General features: G+C 44.3%; 2 protein-coding genes across 4 annotated transcripts in view; one reads left to right on the top strand and one right to left on the bottom strand.

The window, feature by feature from the left end:
* Nucleotides 1–6,204, bottom strand: part of USP30 (ubiquitin specific peptidase 30) — a 64,935-nt gene extending 58,731 nt beyond the window's left edge. For 2 of the 3 annotated variants that reach the window (XM_047429732.1, XM_017020052.3), the window contains exon 1: nucleotides 4,221–4,490. The gene's annotated coding sequence lies outside the window, so the exon portion shown is untranslated. Of the gene's footprint in view, nucleotides 1–1,736; nucleotides 1,829–4,220; nucleotides 4,491–6,125 lie in introns of those variants that run through there. The other variant, NM_001301175.2, reaches the window with a different exon arrangement.
* Nucleotides 6,205–8,224: 2,020 nt separating this feature from the next.
* The window catches only part of SVOP (SV2 related protein), a 113,328-nt gene continuing 100,092 nt past the window's right edge, over nucleotides 8,225–21,460 (top strand). Inside the window, exon 1 of the mRNA NM_018711.5 lies at nucleotides 8,225–8,459. Within this exon, the coding sequence (NP_061181.1) occupies nucleotides 8,425–8,459 (35 nt within the window). The 5' untranslated portion in view covers nucleotides 8,225–8,424. The remainder of the gene's footprint in view (nucleotides 8,460–21,460) is intronic.

The raw sequence follows: 21,460 nt of genomic DNA, 5'->3' as shown, positions 1-21,460 counted from the left end.
GTTTATTCTCCAAAATAAACTTGTCTTTGACAGTTGAACCACTTTTCATGTTTCTTTCCTCTTTCTTTAATTCTTACACTGACCGCAGGTCCAGAGCTAGACATCTGGACCAAGCTGCAGCCAGTATCTTTCTGTGAGAACTCTCCATGATCTATATAAACTGGCTTAAAAAGATGTACTGTGGCAATCAGAAGCTTCTCTTAGAAGGTAGGAAACTTGACATGATTCATAGCTGAGCTGAGCAGGAGTTGTAAAGATGCCCTGTAATTGGGTAAGGACCACAACAAGCCAACATTTTAATTATACATCAATATTTTCAAATCTCAAGGACATTTGATATGGTTTGAATATTTGTCCCCTCCAGATCTCATGTTAAAATGTAATCTCCAGTGTTGGAGGTGGAGCCTAGTGGGAGGTGTTTGGATCATGCGGGTGGATCCTTCATGAATGGCTTAGCACCATTGCTGTGGTGATGAGTAAGTTCACAAGACATCTGATTGTTTAAAAGTGTGTGGTAGTCGGGTGTGGTGGCTCATGCCTGTGATCCCAGCACTTTGGGAGGCTGAGGGGGGTGGATCACCTGAGGTCAGGAGTTTGAGACCAGCCTGGTCAACATGGTGAAACCCCTCTCTACTAAAATTACAAAAATTAGCCAGGCGTGTTGGCACACGCCTGTAATCTCAGCTACTCAGAAGGCTGAGGCAGGATAATTGCCTGAACCTGGTAGGTGGAGGTTGCAGTGAGCTGAGACCACACCATTGCACTCCAGTCTGGGCGACAAGAGGGAAACTACATCTCAAAACAAAAACAACAACAACAACAAAAAAACAGAAAAAAAAAAGGGTGTGGCACCTCCCCTCTCTCTGTCTTGCTCCCCTTCACCTTCCATCATGACTCTAAGCTTCCTGAGGCCCTCACCAGAAGCAGATGCCAGCGCCATGCTTCCTGTACAGCCTGCAGACTGTGAGTCAATTAAATCTCTTTTCTTTATAAATTACCCAGTGTCAGGTATTCCTTTACAGCAATACAAAAATGGCCTAATAGAATATTCCTGCAACTCAACAGCAAAAATCCCCGAACAATTCAATTAAAAAATGAGTGAGGGGCTTGCATAGACATTTCCTCAAGGAAGATATGCCAGTGGCCAATAAGCACATGAAAAGATGCTCAACATTGTTAGTTATTAGGGAAATGCAAATCAGACCACTCCACACCCACTGGGATGGCTATTATCAACAAGTGTTGAGGAGAATGTGCAGAAATTGGAATCCTTGTGCATTGCTGGTGGGAATGTAAAATGGTACAGCTGCTGTAGAAAACAGCTTGGCAGTTCCTCAAAAACTTAAACATAGTTACCATATGACTCAGCAACTCTTCTCCTATTTATATACTCATAAGAATTGAAAACAGGGACTCAAAGGGATACACTGTAGACCAATGTTTATAGCAGCATTCTTCACAATAGCCAAAAAGGTGGAAACAACCCACGTGTCCATCAACAGATGAATGGATTAACAAAATGTGCCATATACCTACAAAGAAATATTATTCAGTCATATAAAAGAATGAGGTTCTGATAGATGCTACAGCACAGATGAACCTTGAAAACATTATGTTAAGTGAAATAAGCCACATAAAAAGGACAAATATTGTATGATTCCACTCTTATCAGGTAACTAGAGTAGGCAAATTCATAGAAACAGGAAGTAGAATAGGCCTGGCACTGTGGCACTCACCTATAATCCCAGCACTTTGGGAGGCTGAGGCAGGAGGATTGCTTGAAGCCGGAGTTCGAGACCAGCCTGGGTTACATAGCAAGACTCTGTCTCTACAGAAAAATAAATAAATAAAACTTAGCTGGGCATGGTGGCATGCACCTGTAGTTCCAGCCACTCCAGTGGCTGAGGTGGGAGGATTGCCCAGAAGGTTGAGGTTGCAGTGAGCCGTGATTGCATCACTGCACGTCAACCTGGACAGCAGAGTGAGACCCTGTCTCTAAAAAATAAAAATAAAAAAGAAAGTAGAATAGAGGTTACCAGAGGCTGGGAGGAGGGAGGAACAGGGAGTTATTACTCAATGGGTAGAGTTTCTCTTTGGGATGATCAAGATCTGGAAGTCAATAGCGTGATGGTTATATAACATTATGAATATACTCTAAGCCACTAAATTGTACACTTCAAACTTTATGATACATAGTTAAGGACTGAATGTTTGTGTCCACCCCAAATGTATATGTTGAAGCCCTAACCCCATAATGTGTATTTGGAAATGGGGCCTTTGGGAAGTAATCAGGGTTACAGAAGGTCATGCAGGTGGGGCTGACATGATGAGATAGTGCCCTTATAAGAAAATATGCCAGAGAGCTTGCTTTCTCTTTATGCTTATGTGCCAAGGAAAGAGCATGTAAGCACAGAGAGAAGGTGGCCATCTGCAAGCTGGGAAGAGAGCCCTCACCAGAACCTAACTATACTGGCACTTTGATCTTGAACTTGTCAGCCTCTAGAACTGTTAGAAATGGATTTCTGGGCTGGGTGTAGTGGCTCACACCTGTAATCTCAACACTTTGGGAGGCCGAGGTGGGTGGATGGCTTGAATGCAGGAGTTTGAGACCAGCCTGGGCAACATAGTGAGACTCCTTCCCCAGAAAAAATACAAAAATTAGGTGGGCATGGTGGTGCGCACCTACGGTCTACTACAGGAAGCTACTCAGGAGGCTGAGGTGGAAGGATCACTTGAGCTTGGGAGGTTGAGGCTGCAGTGAGCCATGATCATGTCACTGCATTCCAGCCTGAGTGACAGAGACCCTGTCTCAAAAAAAAAAAAAATTCTGTTGTGTAAGCCACCAAGACTATGATATTTTGTTATGGCAACTGACCTGGCTAAGACATATGTATTTACCACAATAAAAATTATTTTTAGGCCAGGTCTGGTGGCTCACAACTGTATCCCAGCACTTTGGGAGGCCAAGGCGGGTGGATCACTTGAGCCCAGGAGTTCGAGACCAGCCTGGGCAACACAGTGAAGCCCTGTCTCTACCAAAAATACAAAAATTAGCAAGGTGTGATGGCATGCGCCTGCAGTCCCAGCTACTCAGGAGGCTGAGGTGGGAGGATGATTTGAGCCTGGGAAGTGGAGGTAGCAGTTAGCTGAGATTGCATCATTGCACTCCAGCCTGGGCAACAGAGCCAGACCCTGTTTCAAAAAATTTATTTTAATTAAAAAATTATTTAAAAGAATCATGGTAGTAAGATACACATGGTTTTAAAAATAAAATAGTACCAAAAATTTACAACTTAAAAAACGCTTCATGCCAGGGTCAGTGGCTCACACCTGTAATGCCAGCACCTTTGGCCAAGGTGGGAGGATCCCTTGAGCCCAGGAGTTTGAGATCGGCCTGGGCAATGAAGCAAAACTCCATCTCTACAAAAAATACAAAAATTAGCCAGGTGTGGTGGTGCACACTTGTAGTCCTAGCTACTCGGGAGGCTGAGGTGGGAGAATCGCTAGAGCTGGGCTGAGGCAGGAGGATTACTGTCCAGGCTGCAGTGAGCTGTGATCACACCACTGCACTCCAGCCTGGGTGACAGAGCAAGACCCTGTCAAAAAAAAAAAGTGGCAGTTCCACTTCCACCCACTCTCAGTCTTTTAGCTGCTTCTTTTAGTATCTACAGGCAAATTTCTATATGAGATACTCATATGGCTAGTTTTTGTTTTCTCAATTTTGGACATGTTCTGTTGATTTCCATAAACTTGAGGAGGATTTAGTTTTTCCCAATACCATCTATTTTTCTTATCCTTCATAGGCCAGCTAACATTTTAAGGTAGTAGAAAAGATATTGATTTGGGGGCTGGGGGGTGAAGAGAGCAACATAATGATAAGCACTGTATTAGTCAGAGCTCTCCGGATAGACAAAACCAACAAGATAAATAATATCTTCATATAATATAATATATTACATAGATATAAATATAAGGTATCTCTCATATAATACATGAAGGGATTTATCAGGGGAATTGGCCAACATAATTAGGGAGGCTGAGAATTTCCATAACAGACCATTTGCAAGCTAGAAACCCTGGGATGCTGGGCCAAATTCAAGGGCCCAAAAACCCAAGGGGGCCACACATGTAAGTCTTGGTTTCTAAAGACTAAAGAGCCTGCAGTTCTGATGTCCAAGGGCAGGAGAAGAAACAGCTCCTGGAGAAAGAGATCAACTCACCTTTCCTCTGTTTCTGTTCTGTCTGGGCCTCTAGCTGATTTGATGGTGCTCATTCACACATCGAGGGCAGATCTTCCTGAACTTTGTCCACTCAGACTCACACAGCAATCTCCTCTTGAAACACCCTTACAGACACACCAAAAAATGCTGCTTTAGGCTGGTGTGGTGGTTCACGCCTGTAATCCCAGCACTTTGGGGGGCCAAGGCAGGTGGATCACGAGATCAGGAGATCGAGACCATCCTGGCTAACATGGTGAAATCCTGTCAATACTAAAAATACAAAAAATTAGCCCAGGGTGGTGGTGGGCGCCTGTAGTCCCAGCTACTCAGGAGGCTGAGGCAGGAGAATGGCATGAACCTGGGAAGCAGAGCTTGCAGTGAGCTGAGATCGCGCCACTGCACTCCAGCCTGGGAGACAGAGCGAGACTCGGTCTCGGGAAAAAAAAAATGCTGCTTTACCAGTTCTCTAGGTATTCCTTAAACCCACCAAGTTGATACTTAAAATTAATCATTGTGGCCGGGCACGGTGGCTCAAGCCTGCAATCCCAGCACTTTGGGAGGCCGAGGCAGGTTGATTGCTTGAGCTCACGAGTTTGAGGCCAGCCTGGGCAACATGATGATACCCCCTCTCTATAAAAAATACAAAAATTAGCCTGGCATGGTGGCGCACACCTGTAATCCCAGCTATTCGGGAGGCTGAGGTGGGAGGATGGCTTGAGCCTGAAAGGTGGAGGTGGCAATGAGCTGAGATCACACCACCACACTCCAGCCTGGATGATAGAGCCAGATCTTGTCTCAAAAAATAAAATTAAAATAAATTAATTTAACCATTGCAACAGCTAACACTTATTATGTGCCATCCAAGTGTGTGGTCCTTCACCTCCATTTTATCTTTGATTCTGACCACCACCCTATGAAGTAGTTATGGTTATTGATCCCCGTATTTCTGATGAGGAAATGCAAGCACGGAAAGTTAGACAACCTGCTCGAGGTTACCCACCCAGGAAGAGGTGGAGCTGGGAAGAGAGTCCCCAGGACTGAGCCTGCTTTAACCACTCTCCAGTTCCAGGCTGCAAACTCCCTTTTTCCTTTGAAGGAACTTGACTTGGTCTCTGTTGAACATCAAAAAATACTGATTGGCCAGTCGCGGTGGTGATCACACCTGTAATCCCAGCACTTTGGGAGGCCGAGGCAGGTGGATCACAAGGTCAGGAGTTCAAGACCAGCCTGGCCAAGATGGTGAAACCCCGTCTCTACTAGAAATACAAAAAAATTAGCCAGGCATGGTGGCGGGCACCTGTAATCCCAGGTACTTGGGAGGCCGAGGCAGAGAATTGCTTGAATCCGGGAGGTGGAGGTAGCAGTGAGCCGAGATTGCGCCATTGCACTCCAGCCTGGGTGACAGAGAGAGACTCTGTCTCAAAAAAAAAAAAAAAAAAAAAAAGTCCTGATTAAGGCACATGAGTAGAAGCTGAAATGGGATGATAAGGGGGCTATTTATTTATTTATTTATTTATTGAGACAGAGTTTCGCTCTATCACCCAGGCTGGAGTGCAGTGGCGCGATCTCAGCTCATTGCAACCTCTGCTTCCTGGCTTCAAGCGATTTTCCTGCCTCAGCCTCTCGAGTAGCTGGGACTACAGGTCTGTGCCACCACACCTGGCTAAGTTTTTTTATTTTCAAGTGGAGACGAGGTTTTGCCATGTTGGCCAGGCTGGTCTGGAACTCCTGACCTCAAGTGATCCATCCGCCTCGGCCTCCCAGAGTGCTGGGATTATAGGCGTGAGCCATGGTACCCGACCCCTAAGAGGGCTGTTTAGAGTGAGCATAATGAATATTCATAGAGCCCTAGAGAGCCCCACCTGACACCAGGATTGAGGGAAAAGGGGTAATTAAAGCAAAAACCTTCAGAGACATTTGAATCCATAATCGAAAAGGTACCAGGTTGTCCAGCTCCCTTTCCCAGCTATGCAACAATGGGGATACTGACAAGTGTTTGGATTGGATGTCTTTAGATAAGTGTCCACCCTCTTAGCCAATCAGCTGTGGCCAGGAATCATGTGATACCAAATGTAGTGCACAGCAGGGATGGGGGAGAGATTCCTTTAGAAATAAGTGTGGGTGGGACAACTTGTGATTGACTCCAGTATGAGGTGAGAAGGAGCCATGAATAAGTTCAAACTATCATTGTGACAGACACATAGTTGTTGCTCATTAATATTTACTAGATAAATAATACATTGGAGCTTGAGTACCACTGTATAATTGGTTTTCCCAACATTAGATTTGTTTAAAGTTATCCAATGTTTCAATAGTTCCAATTTCTCCTACTATACCCGCAATGGATGGTTTCTTTTGAGACACTCAGAGAAAGCCTAGCATTTAAGGGCGCAGGTTGTGGAGATAGACTGCCGGGGTTTTAAGTCCAGATCAACTCTTTCCTGTCCTCATGACCTTGTGCAAGCAAATCTACCCTTCTCTGAGCCTTGTTTCCTCATCTTACAAAATAAGGATAAAAATCACACCTGCTCATAGGATTGTTGCAAAGATCAAGGGGACCATGGTGAAGTACATATCCGGGTGCCTGGCACACATTCAATTTTGGATTTTCAAGTCCTTTTATGGATTCGATGTGAGATTGTTTTCAGTTCTCAGATTGGTTTTCTTGTTCCCTCTTCCAACTTCCCCCACCCTTTGTCAACAATTAAAGAAAAAAAGAAAAAAATGTTTCCTTCTTCCTTTAGTTCCTTGTAAGTGTCCATTCAACGGTCATTCTCATAGCTTTTGCCAGTTGCCATCATGGATCATCTTAGTAGTTTTCTGTTGTATAATTTTCCAGCTTTTCTTTTCATTTGTTCACACTTGATCAGGGGTTTCCACTTCATGGTGCTGGGGAGCTTTTAAAAAATACCCTGAGGCCGGGCGCAATGGCTCACATCTATAATCCCAGCATTTTGGGAGGCCGAGATGGGAGGATTGCTTGAGGCCAGGAGTTCTAGATCAGCCTGGGCAACAAAGCAAGACCCCATCTCTACAATAAATAAATTAGCTGGGTATGCTGGGATGAGCCTGTGATCCCAGCTACTAGGGAGGTTGAGGTGGGAGGATTGCTTTAGCCCAGGTGGTTGGGGCTGTAATGAGCCATGATCATGCCACTGCAACTCCAGCCTGGGCAACAGAGCAAGAACTTGTCTCAAAAATAAATAAATAAATATTGAAAAAATAAAAAATACCCAGGCTTGGCCTCCACCTCCCGAGAGTTGAGTTCAATTGGTTTGAAATGGAGCCAGGCAATTCTTATATGCAGCCTGAACTGAGAACCATTTATTCAACAAATATTTATGGGGTACCTTCTATGTGCCAGACACTGTTCTAGTACTTGGGACACATCAGTGAAACCTCATGGAGCTTAAGTTCTAAAGGGGTCAGAAATTCTAGTGAGAGGTGGCTTAGGGGAACCATTAAACTATCTAGGATCTTGAAGGCAGAGACTTTATTTTACTCATGTTTTTATTCCCCAGGGTCAGGGCTGTAGAATTCACCCAATAACGCTTGTTGAAAGAATGAGTGATCTTTGGCCTTCTCATACCTAATTTACATTTTTCTTTTCTTGATTCATTTCACTAGACCCTTAGCTCCACGATGACAATGACAGGTCGAATTTGTTCTGTCATACCCCCAGTGCCTATTACAGTGCCTGGCACATAGGTGCTCAGTAAACCGTACTTAAATGCATGCCTGTATTTGTTACAGCAGCCTGGGTTTCAAGAGTGTTATACGGATAACATTAATGAATCCACGCAAATAAACATTTAGACACGCATCGTCAATCAAAGGGTGCTCACTGGTACCCGGACAACCATTTCACAGACTGGTGTGCCCTATAGGCATCCCAGTGATACACCATCAGCCAGAGAGCCTGTGAACTCTTCCAAGCAGAAGGGCTCTCCCTGCCCCCTCTCCCCGCGCAGCTCGCTCTGCCCTCCGCCTCCTCTTCTCCGCCCACTCTCGCCGCGGTCTCCTGGCGGCGGAGGCTTTGTCTCGTGGGCTGGTCCCCAGCGGCTCCCTCCCCGAACAGCTGCTGCTCCAGGGAGGAAGCGGCGCGGGTGCTGTCCAGCTTCCCGGTGCTGAAAACCGGAGGGCTCGTCATCCACCACTACCATGTAAGGGCCATGAGAAGGGCTCATCCTGGCGCAGCGCGGACATGGAGGAGGACTTATTCCAGCTAAGGCAGCTGCCGTGAGTATCATGGGGGCGAGCAAGAGGCAGACAGGCTTTCTTTTAAAAAACGAAAACCTGCAAGGGGGGTGGGGGGGGGTACATCTCTGCATGGTTTCTTGAATTTAAAGGGAACTGTTTCAGAGGAAGGAATTAGGGCCTGGAGGAGACAAGCCATTTTCTTTCCCCAGCAGCCCAGCCTCTGTATCTCTGACTCAGTTCCATTTATCAGATCTGTCAGGACCTTATGGGGGAACCACGGGGGTTATGATTCCCCTTTTAATTGCTCTCAATCCTAAAAGGATTTTCAGATGTGAGCTTTAAGAAAGCATTAGCTGCTGTTTTGAAATGTGGACAGAATTGGTGAGTCTATGCAATGACATCGGTCCTTTCCAGCCCTAATCCTATGCTGTGAAATCCATAATTTTTCTGCAAGGTCTTTTGGAAGGGAATGATACTGATGCTGCAAACTGGTTGATAAAAAAAACTGGGATGCCTTCCTAGAGGAGAGGGTTGGGCAAAGTCCTGTTGTTTATGAAGTGTGTGAATGAGAGGGCTGTGCACGGTCGGTGAAACCTCTTGCCTTCTTCTGAATGAAAGGTTTTTGTAGCAGCTAGCTAGAGTGAGACTCACTGTCGGAACATCAGGAATATACTGCTTTGAGGATGGCGATTTTTAAGAAAAACCAAATTTGCTCTGAGAATCTGGGGGAAATATCAAGCAACCGAAAGGACAGGGGCCTTGTAGAGGGGCTTACAGATTTTTCCTACCACAAGCAGATAGTGATTTGTTAAGTAAATTCCAAGAGTATGAGAGGGGGCATTAAAAAGAACATTGGTGGGGCAGGGGTTGTTTTAATTTTTAGAAGCACTAGCCATTTGAGTGGTAAGAGTAGATTCCCTTTGGGATTGTTAGAAAGGATAAATTATAGTTAGTGTGTGTGTATTTTCTTGATTTTAAAAATGGTGGATTATTTTTTTCTATAATCTACTGAGGAATTCTCCCAAGTGACTTTTAGTGTGACTGATACAGTTCTCTGAGGCTGTGAGTACTGAAGGGGATTGTAATGTTTACTTTTCAATCAGAGTAAAATTAGTTTTCACCAAAATTTTTAATTAATTTAAAATTTGCTTTAAAGTTTTACTAATTGATCCACAAATAGTATATCTGATTATGTAATACAGCATTATTTCACAAATGCTAGAGGATGTTCAGTAATAATATCCAGACGTAGATATAACAGTACATAAAAATGTAAAGGTCTGATTACAAATTTCCCAAGGAAAACATACAACTTTTATTGAGAATAAATATCATGTTCAAAAATAAAATGATTACCCCCAATAAAAAATAATTTAATATCAGAAATGTGAACTTTGGTACTCAGAATTAGACTACATATTGGAACTGTGGTTTTCCTGGGATAAATTTTTCAATAATGTCAGAGGATGTGAACTTTTCAAAGATTCATGTGTATATGAACTTTGCAAAAGGGTCATGTATATTTAATCTACTAATATATAGACCTGACATTATCATGACAATTCCTTCTTTAATTAAAAAAAGCAAAAATAAGAAGTTTTCACTTATTTAAATGTAAAAATTTAGGTTTTTATAGGAATATAATACAATGTACCAATAAATAAAGGTAAATAAAGTTCAAAGAGAAGCACAAGAATAAAGAGTAAGTCTCCTTTCTTTTCAAACCCCAGTTCTATTCCCCAGAGTTAAGTTTCTTGATTATTCTTTCTGGTGCTTAATAGGCATAAATACATATATTATCTATTAGGCCAAATTGTGTACTGGTTAAGTACATTATCTCTTGAATCAGACATACTTGGGTTCAAATCCTTACTATGCCACTTCCTGGCTGTGTGACTTTAAGCAAGTGACTTAACCTTTCTGAGACTCAGTTTCCTTAGCTACACAATGAGGATCATAACAGTACTTAATTCATAAGGTTATTGTGAAGATCAAATGAGATAATGTATGCCAAATGCCGGGCAGACACAAAGCACTCAATGCATATTAGCTATTACTATTATTACATCTGAAAAATCATTTATATAAACAAAATATGTAGGTTTACTGTACTGGACTCCCTCAAAATCTTAATCTGCAAACCCCAAATGACATTTGAATGAAGTCAAAATTAGCCCTGAAATGTGTTGACCTCAATTTCTAAAAAAAGAGTAAGCTAAAAGGAATGGCCACATGAATCTGAGTGGGTTACAAATCACGATTTAGATGTTTTTTAAACCACACCCTTCGTATATTATGCACAGATTGCAGGCAGCAGATTTCCCGAGAGCAATATGGCTAAAAAAAAATTCAGAGTGCCTTGTAGAGGGTTGGCAAGAGTGGACTTTGGAATAGGCTCAGTCCCGTGGGAGGCCAAGTGTTAGCAGATTATAAGCCACTAAGTAGTTCACATGGTTGGGGAATGGGGAAAGGGAGTGAGGGAGTCTAAGAAACAGTCCTTCCTCACACTTGAAGGAACCCTCACACAGCTCTGGGGTGGTTCATTTGAGACCACAAAAGACCATTGTTTTTCACATGCTGTCCACTCTGGGACAGCACCACATAGAGGAGATTTGGGAGGCTGAGAGTTTGCATCCAGTTCTGCCTTTTTGTGTGACCTTGTGCAAATCAGACTTTTCTAGGTCTGTTCTTTCTAGGATGATTTCTTGAAAGCAAGTTTGCAGACACTGATTGATCGATTCATTCATTCATTCATTCATTCATTCATCCATCCATTCTTTCACTGATTTACTTAGATACCATCCTAGGTACAAAGGATTCTACAGCTGAGTAAGGTAGAATGGTTCTTGCGCTTAAGCACCTCGCAATCTAGAGCTGCAATGTCCAATAGTACATTTAGCCACTAGCTACATGTGGCTATTTAAATTTAAACTTAAATGAATTTAAAGTATGCATTTTGTACATGAAATAATTTATATAGTATAATAAAGAATATAAAATGTATATATAATATACAATAGAAAATATGTGGCCAGGTGCAGTGGGTCATGCCTATAATCCCAGCACTTTGGGAGACCGAGGTGGGTGGATCATTTGAGGTCAGCAGTTCGAGACAAGCCTGACCAACATGGTGAAACACTGTCTCTACTAAAAATACAAAAAAAATTAGTCAGGCATGGTGGCACATCCCAGCTACTTGGGAGGCTGAGGCAGGAGAATCTCTTGAACCTGGGAGGCAGAGGTTGCGGTGAGCAAAGATTGTGCCACTGCACTCCAGCCTGGGCAACACAGTGAGACTCTGTCTCAAAAAAAATGTGTGTGTATATATATAATGTAAAATTTTAAAAAAATCTGTCCCTCAGTCATACTAACCACATTTCAAATACTCAATAGCTACATGTGGCTAGTGGCTACTATATTGGACAGCATACGTGTAGGCCAGCAGTCCCCAACTTTTTTGGCTCCAGGGACTGGTTTCTTGGAAGACAATTTTTCCATGGATGGGGGTGGTTAGGTAGGGGGATGGGGTTGGGGTTTCAGGATAAAACCATTCCACCTCAGATCTTCAGGCATTAGATTCTCATAAGGAGCCTGCAACTTAGACCCCTTGTGTGTCAGTTCACAATAGGGTTCACGCTCCTATGAGAATCTAATGCCGCTGCTGATTGACAGGAGGTGGAGCTTGGGCGGTAATGCTCACTCACCCAAGGCTCACTGTGCAGCCCGGTTCCTAACAGGCCAGAGACCGTTACGGGTCCTTGGCCCAGGGATTGGGGACCCCTGGTCTAGGACATTTCCATAATTGCAGAAAGTTCTATTGGACAGCACTGGTTTGGTAGGAGGGAGGACACTGAACACATCATTGCAAATAATTATGAGAATTGTCTTAAGTGCTATCAAGAACTACTGCAAGCCTGGGGAATATATTGAGACCTGTTACTACTAAAAAAATTTTTTTCTTAATTAGCCAGGTCTGGTGGCTCATGCCTGTGGCCCCAACTACTAGGGAGGCTGAGGCAGGAGGATTGCTTGAGCCTGGGGGTTCAAGGCTGCAATGAGCCATGATCATGACACTGCACTCCAGCCTGAGTGACAGAGTGAGATCCTGTCTCAAAAAAAAAAAAAAAAGAACTAATGCAGGGTACAGGTAAGGAAACTAGTTTTAGATGGGAGGTGGGTATCAGGGAAGGCTTCCCTGAGGAAGTGACATTTGACCTGATCCTCTGGAGATATGATTTCAGGAAAAAGAGAGAGGATTAAGAACATTCCAGGAAGAAGAAACTGTATGGGTAAAAGCCCTGAATTGGGAAAAAAGCTTGGTGTGTCTCAAAATCAGCCAAAAGATCATTAATGAACAAGTGGCTTGAGGGGAAACTGCTGAGGATAACAGGGAGTAGGCCATCCAGGGTCTTGTAGTATATGACAAGGAGTTGGGACATCATCCTGCATTTGCTGAATCTACTGTCTCCTTTCTTACAAACCCTGTCTTTCAAGATTGAGTTTGGGTCCACCATTTTAATAAATCTGCCCCTGACTTCTGCCGGTCTTAATCAATAGCAGAGGTAAAAATGTGGAAACTGACTCAGGCAGATCTGGGTTCAAACTCTGGCTCCGGCCCTATCTGGGTGGCCTCGGGCCAAAGCCTTCTTCTCCCCAAGGCTGAGTGCCTATCGGTGAAGTCAGAACAGTGATAATACCTGCAGGGCTGTTGTAAGGATCAGAGAGATAATCGCTGGGAAGCTCTCAGCACAGTGCCTGGCTTTGAGTATGGTCTCGATTTGTGGTGCTGGTATTGTTTTCCTCCACTCAGCATTCGTTTCCCTGATCTTCCAACTTATTAGGTAGTAGGAGCGCCTGGAAGCCACATTCTCCTGTGCAAAACACTAAGAAGATGTCTGGTGTGGTGTGAGAGCACATGTCTGAACTTGAACTCTTCGTCCGTCCTCCACCTGCTCCTCTTTCAGCCTCCCCCATCTCAGTTGATAACAACTCCATTTGTCCCATTTGGCCGGAAACTTTGGAGTCAAGTTAGACTCCCCTCTTCCTCCCATTTCACTTTTTTGTTTTGTTTTGTTTTGTTGAGACAGAGTCTCGCTCTGTTGCCCAGGCTGGAGTGCAGTGGTGTGATCTCAGCTCACCGCAACCTCTGCCTCCCAGGTTCAAGCGATTATCATAGCCACCCCTGTAGCTGGGATAACAGGCATGCACCACCATGCCCAGCTAATTTTTTATAGAGATGGGGTTTTGTCATGTTGGCCAGGCTGGTCACCTGGCTCCAAGTGACCCTCCCGCCTTGGCCCCGCAAAATGCTGGGATTACAGGCATGAGCCACCATGCCTGGCCCCATTTCACTTTCAGTCCATCAAGAAATCCTTTGGTCCTGCCTTCAACTTAACACCCAGACTCCCACCCCTTCTGCTGCAATCCTCTGGTTCAAGTATCCATCCTCTCTCACTGGGATTGATTGCAATGATGTCTGTGCTGGTTTTCCCGCTCCTGCCCTTGCCTCCCTATAGCCCATTCTCAACCCAGTGGCCAGAGGGATTCTTTAAAAGTCAGATCATGTCCTTCCTTGGCTCAAAAATCTTCTATGGTTCCCATCTCACCTCATCTCTTTCACTATCCTACCCATTCATGCTGCTGCCTCCCTGCTGTTCCTCAGCCATGCCAGCCAGGCTCCTGCCTCAGGATCCACCCGCTAGAAAGCTCTTCTCCAAGGTACCTGCTTCACTCTCATAAAGTCTCAAATACCACCTTCTCACCAAAGCTTACCCTAATAACTCTCTTTAAATTTGCAGCCCTCTCATATACCCATCAGGATGGCTACTATTAAAATAAAAAATACCTGAGCTGGGCATGGTGGTTCAAGCCCATAATCTCAGCACTTTGGGAGACCAATGCGAGAGGAATGCTAGAAGCCAAGAGCTGTGAGACCAGCCTGGGCAACAAAGCAAGACCCCGTCTCTACCAAAAATTTTGAAAAACTAGCCAGCCATGGTGGTGTGTGCCTGTAGTCCCAGCTACTTAGGAGGCTGAGGAGGGAAGATTGCTTGAGCCCAGGGTTTTGAGGCTGCAGTGAGCTATGAATGTGCCACTACACTCCAGCCTGGGTGATAGAATGAGACCCTGTCTCAAAAAAGAAAGAAAGACCAAAAAAATCAGAAAATAACAAATGTTGGTGAGGATGTAGAGAAATTGGAACTTTTGCACACTGTTGGTGAAATATAAAATAGTGTAGCCATCATGGAAAAGAGTATGGCAGTTCCTCAAATGTAAAAATAAAAATAATGCCATGTGACCCAGTAATTCCACTTCTGGTTATAGATGCAAAATAATGGGAAGCAGGGTATTGAAGAGATATTCGTACTTCTATGTTCACAGCAGCATTATTCACTATAGCCAAACATGAAAACCCATGCCCATGGACTGACGAATGGATGAATAATATTCCATTGTGCAATATTGCTAAAATCTCTTCTCTTAGCAATTTTCAAGAAACAAAATGTGGTCTATCCACATTTGGAATATTATTCAGCCTTAAAAAAGGAAGGACATTTTGGCCGGGTGCAGTGGCTCATGCCTGTATTCCCAGCACTTTGGAAGGCCGAGGCACTTTGGAAGGCCAAGGCAGGAGTTCAAGACCAGCCTGGCCAACATGGTGAAACCCAGTCTCTACTGAAAATACAAAAATTAGCCAGGTGTGGTGGCATGCACCTGTAATCCCAGCTACTTGGGAGGCTGAGGCACGAGAATCGCTTGAACTTAGGAGATGGAGGTCCCAATGAGCTGAGATCACACCGTGGCACTCCAGCCTGGGCAGCAGAGTGGGACTCCATCTCAAAAAAAAAAAAAAAGGAAGGAAATTTGGGCAGTCCTACAATGCAGATGAAGCTTGCAGACATTGTGCAAATAAAGCAGTCACAAAAAGACAAATACAGCATGATCCCACTTATATGAGGTGCCTAGAGCAGTCAAATCCATAGAGACAGAAAGTAAAATGGTGGTTCCAGGAACTCGGTGGTGGGGGGAGAGGGAATGGGGAGTTGGTGTTTAATGGTACTGAATTTAAATTTAAATTTTGCAAAATGAAAAGAGTTCTGCAGATGGATGGTAGTGATGATTGTACAACAATGTGAACGTGCTTAATGCCAGAGAACTGTATACTTAAAAATGGTTAAGATTGGGCTGGGTGCAGTGGCTCACGCCTGTAATCCCAGCACTTTGGGAGGCTAAGGCAGGCAGATCACTTGAGGCCAGAAGTTCAAGATCAGCCTGGCCAACATGGTGAAAACCGTCTCTACTAAAAATGCAAAAATTAGCCAGGTGTGGTGGCATGCACCTATAATCTCAGCTAGTCAGGAGGCTGAGGCATAAGAATCACTTGAACCTGGGAGGCAGAGGTTGCAGTAATCAAAGATCGTGCTACTGCACTCCAGCCTGGGTGACAGAGTGAGACTCTGTCTCAGAAAAAAAAAAAAAAGGTTAAGACGGTAAGTTTGATGTTATGTGTATTTAATCATAATTGGAAAAAAAGCTGCAGCCTTCTTCCTCTATCCTCCAATACCATATTCTCCTTTTTCTTTTTTTCATAGCACGTATCATCGCTAATAAACTCTATAATTTGCTTATTTATTGTGTTTAGTGTTTGTCTTCCCTCATGAGAGTTTCACAAGGGTGGGATCTGATGTATCCCAAGTGTGTGGGATATTGCTGTCAGTTTCACCTACTACTGGATTCCAGTGTAGACCAATATAGACAGGCCAAATGATTAGGAACACTTCATGAATGAAAAACCAGAAAAATCTGTCTGTCGGCTGTGTTATTTTCCCTGACAGTGGAACCACTATTAAGTTTTAGCAACTGTGTAGCCCAGTCTACCTGGAAAGACCAGACATAGCTTTGTTTCTTCATGTCTATTTTCTGCTTCCCCATATTCCTTTTTTAAGACAGGCTCTCACTCCAGTTGCCCAGGCTCGAGTGCAGTGGCACAATCATGGCTCACGGCAGCCTCAACCTCCTGGGCTCAGCTGATTCTTTCACCTCAACCTCCCCAGTAGCTGAGACTACAGGCACATGACACCACGCCTGGCTCATTTTTTATATTTTTGGTAGAGACGGGGTTTCGCTATGTTGTCCAGGCTGGTCTCAAACTCCTGGACTCAAACAATCCACCTGCTTTGGCCTCCCAAAGTGCTGGGATTACAGGCTTGAACCACCATACCTGGCCGTATTTCCTTATTTTCTTTGACTAAATCAGGGAGGTTGGGAGAACAGCAGTTTGACTACTGATTACATGAAATTTTTTTAATTATTTTAATATTTTAAAAAATGTTAAATTGACAAATAAAAATTACATATGTATGGTGTAGAACATGTTGTTCTGAAATACGTGTAATTGTGAAATAGCTAAATCAAGCTAATTAACATATGCATCATCTCACATCCTTTTTTGTGGTGAGTACACTTAAAATCTCCTTTCTTAGCAATTTTCAAGTATACAATACTCTAAATTGTTATTAACTATAGTCTCCATGTTGTACGATAGATCTCTTGAACCTATTTCTCCTGTCTAACTGATTTTTTTTTTTTTCTGAGACAGTCTCGCTCTGTTGCTCAGGCTGGAGTGCAGTGGCGTGATCTTGGCTCACTGCAACCTCCACCTCTCAGGCTCAAGCGATTCTCCTGCCTCAGCCTCCTGAGTAGCTGGGATTATAGGCACCCACCACTGCACTCGGCTAATTTTTGTATTTTTAGTAAAGACGGGGTTTTGCCATGTCAGCCAGGCTGGTCTTGAACTCCTGACCTCAGGTGATCTGCCTGCTTCAGCCTCCCAAAGTCCTGGGATTAGAGGCATGAGCCACTGCGCCCAGCCTAACTGAAATTTTTTTTACCTGCAGCAACTCCCTAATTCCTCCAAGCCCCTACCAAGCTCCTGGTAATCACCATTCCACTCTCTGCTTCTATGAGTTTGACTTTTTCAGATTCCACATATAAATGAGATCATGCAGTATTTGTCTTTCTGTGCCTGGCTTATTTCACTTAACACAATGTCCTCCAGGTTCGTTCATGTTGTTGCAAATGAGTGGATTTCCTTCTCTCTTAATGCTGAATAGTATTCCATTGTGTTTATACCACATTTCCTTGATCCATTCATCTCTTGATGGACACTTAGGTCGATTCCATAGGTTGGTAACTATGAATAATGCTACAATGATTATATGACTATTGCTGTTGAAATTGTCCCAGGTAAACTCTTTGAGCCCATGTTAAGCCAGGCAAGTATTTGTGTTTGAGTTCTAGGGGAGAAGCTCTGCATAGAGACACAGGACCAGAGGAGGTGGCAAAGGCACACGTGAGACTTCCTGCTGGCTCCCATCCGCCTGAGACCTAGTGGGGCCAAAGGAGGGGGAGGATCCCTAGACAAGGAAGAGAGATAGGGCATCATTGTCACTCACTTCAGGCAAAAAGTAGGGAGTTATTGTAATAGCCTGGGCATCCCCCAAGGGAACCCACCACAGCCTTTAAAACCTCACACTCAGAGTTGCTCACACCCCTTCATTTCAAAAATGTTTACATTTTATGCCAGCCAGCTTCACTTAAGAAATGTGTGTTTCAATGACTTAAGGGGAATAGTCTGATTGTTGAGTGCCTTATATAAGATAGTGCAGTGGCCCTCGTCTATAATCCCAGCACTTTGGTGGGGGCCAATGTGGGAGGATCGCTTGAGGTCAGGAGTTCAAGACCATCCTGGACAACATGGTGAAACCCTGTCTTTACTAAAAATACAAAAATTAGCCAGGTATGGTGGCATGTGCCTGTAATCCCAGCTACTTGGGAGGCTGAGGCATGAGAATCGCTTGAAACCAGGAGGCAGAGGTTGAAGTGAGCTGAGATCACGCCACTTGCACTCCAGCCTGGATGACAGAGCGAGACCCTGCCTCAAAAAACAAAACAGAAAACCTCACACTTAAAGCTGTTCACACCCCTTCACTTCAAAAATGTTTACATTTTATGCCAGCCAGCTTCACCTCTGAAGAATGTATGTTTCAGTGACTTAAGGGGAACAGTTTGGGCCAGGTGCAATGGCCGTTGTCTATAATCCCAGCACTTTGGGAGGCCAAGGCAGGAGAATCGCTTAGCTCAGGAGTTTGAGATCAGCCTGGGCAACATAGCAAGACCCCCTCTCTAAAAAATCAAAATTATCTGGGTGTGGTGCCTGTGGTCACAGCTACTTGGGAGGCTGAGGCAGAAGGATCACTTGAACCTGGAAGGTTGAGATTGCAGTGAGCTATGATTGCACCACTGCACTCCAGCCTGGGTGACAAAGTGAGACCCAGTCTGAAAAACCAAACAAAATAAAAACCACAATAGTCTGGAGGCCAAAGAAAGAAAGTCTCCTTGAAAAGAGGCCATTGTTTGGGTGGCCTTGGGTCTTAGGGAGGATTATTCCAGGGTTCACTGGCCTAGACAGTGGCTTTACAGCCCCAGCTAAAGTCTTCTCTGGGCTGTCTAAAAGAATTATGCAGATTTGCATGTGAATGATTATGTGATCTTGGGCAATTTATTTAACTTCCTTGAGACACGAGGGGGTGCCCGGGTCACTTTTGAGGGCATTTTCAGCTCTACAAGACTGATTCTCAGCTCTCTGGATGAATGTGCCTGGCACCAGCCTGGATCATGTCAGTTATTCTGGTGTATTTATTAACTTATTTATTTAATTAAAAAAAAATTTTTTTTTTTTTTTTGAGAGAGAGAGGGTCTCTCTCTGTTGCCCAGGCTGGAGTGCAGTGGCATGATCATGGCTCACTGCAGCCTTCAAACTCCTGGGCTCTAGCAATCCTCCCGCCTCAACTTTCCAAAGTGCTGGGCTTAAAGGTGTGAGCTACCCTGCCCAGGCTGGTGTAATTATTAATAGTATCTCATTCACTCTTTAACCCAGGGTTTCTCAGCCTCAACACTATTCACATTTTAGACCAGACAATACTTTGTAGTGAGGGGGCTGTCCTATGCATTGTAGGATGTTTAGCAGCATTTCTGGCCTCCTCTACCCACCAGATGTCACTGTCACTCCCACCAGTTGTGACCATCAAAGCTGTCTCTAGACATTGCCGATGCCCCTAGGAGACTAAATTGCCCCGGTTGAAAACCACTGCTCTAGGGCCAGGCGCCATGGCTCACACCTGTAAGCCCAGCAGTTTGGGAGGCTGAGGCAGGTGGATCACTTGAGGTTAGGAGTTCGAGACCAGCCTGGCCAACATGGTGAAACCCCATCTCTACTAAAAAAATACAAAAATTAGCTGGGCGTGGTGGCGGGTGCCTGTAATCCCAGCTACTCGGGAGGCTGAGGCAGGAGAATCGCTTGAATCCAGGAGGCAGTCACTCATTTCTACAGCATCTTCAGATCTCTCTTTAAGCCTCACTCCTCTGACTTGAGTCATGCTGGCACCCTGTACATGTTCTCTTAACAACGTGTGCATCTTCTGCAATGCTCAGGGTACCTTTGGTAAAAGGCTCTAAGTTCCATGGGGGCAAGAACTCAAATCTGACACAGAGAGGGTCCCCTCTGTATGGTTGTTAAATGAATGAGTGAATAAATAAGTTACAAAGACAAGGCTGGATGCGGTGGCTCATGCCTGTAATCCCAGCTCTTTGGGAGGCCAAGGCGGGCTGATTATCTGAGGTCAGGAGTTCGAGACCAGCCTGGCCAACACGGCAAAACCCTGTCTCTACTAAAAATATAAAAATTAGCCAGGCGTTGTGGCTCGCGCCTGTAATCCCAGCTACTTGGGAGGCTGAAGCATGAGAATCTCTTGAACCCGGGAAGCAGACGCTGCAGTGAGCGGATATCATGCCACTGCACTCCAGCCTGGGTGACAGAGCGAGACTCCATCTCAAAAAAAAAAAAAAAAAAAGAAAGAAAAGAAAAAAAAAGTTACAAAGACAAATAACCAACCCTGAAAGTTGCAGCACAGGCCTTTTTGTTCTCCAATCAGAAGAGTAACCCACTCCTCTCTGCTGAGGCCATGTCAAAGAATGAGTAAGTGTGTGCGCACTCAACTCAGGCAATTTGGTTTTGGATCCTGACTTTCTGGCTAACTTGGTAGGTGATCTTGGGCAAGTTCCTTGTTTTTCTTTAGGCCTCAGTTTTATCATCTGTAAAGTGGAGACAGCAATGGAACCCACCTCCTAGGGCATGAGGGTTCCTTGAGATGATGCTTATAATGTGCTTAGCAGAGTTACCAGCCCCTGATAAAGGCTTCATGAATGCTAACTAGGATTTATTTTTTATCATTACCTTTTGTCCAGGATATAAGCTAGTGGTCTGCTATCCTAGGAACAAGCTCATTGCTATTCAGGTTGACGGGGATGGCAGAAAAATGCAAATAAATAAAATCCACAGAGAACTAAAATTTCCATTAATTATAGACTTCTAACACATTCAGAAATGGAAGGAAACTTAAAGGTCATCACATCCAACCCCTCACACCCCATCTCCCCAGTTCAGAGCAGGCAGGCATCAGATGGTGACTTTCAGACTTCTGTGGCTGCCATCAACATCTTATTAAAATTCAGGTTCTTGGGCCCCACTCTGTAGAGATGCAAAAGCATTATTAGGTCTAGAGTATGGCCCAGGAATCAGCATTTTAATCAGTTCCACAGGGGTATTCTTGGCTTCAGGTACAGAAGCTTTGGCTGACTGGTTAAGATCATGGGTTTTGGAGCTACTTGAGCCAGGGTCCTAGTACACTGCATATTATCTAGGAGACCTGGAACCATTGGTGTAACCTCTCCAGCCTCAGCTTAGTTGTCTATAAACTGGAGATTTTTTTTTTTTGAGACAGGGTCTCACTCTGTCACCCTGGCTGGAGTGCAGTGGTGCAATCATAGCTCACTGCAGTCTTCACCTCTTGGGTTCAAATGATCCTTCCATCTCATCCTCCCCAGTAGCTGAGACCAAAGGTGCGTACCACCACGGTCAGCTAATTTTTTAATTTTTTGTAGAGACATGGTCTTGCCATGTTGCCCAGGTTGGTCTCGAA

This window comes from Homo sapiens, chromosome 12 (genome assembly GCF_000001405.40).
Source record: "Homo sapiens chromosome 12, GRCh38.p14 Primary Assembly".
NCBI lineage: Eukaryota > Metazoa > Chordata > Mammalia > Primates > Hominidae > Homo > Homo sapiens.
This window is presented reverse-complemented; position numbering and strand designations above follow the sequence as displayed.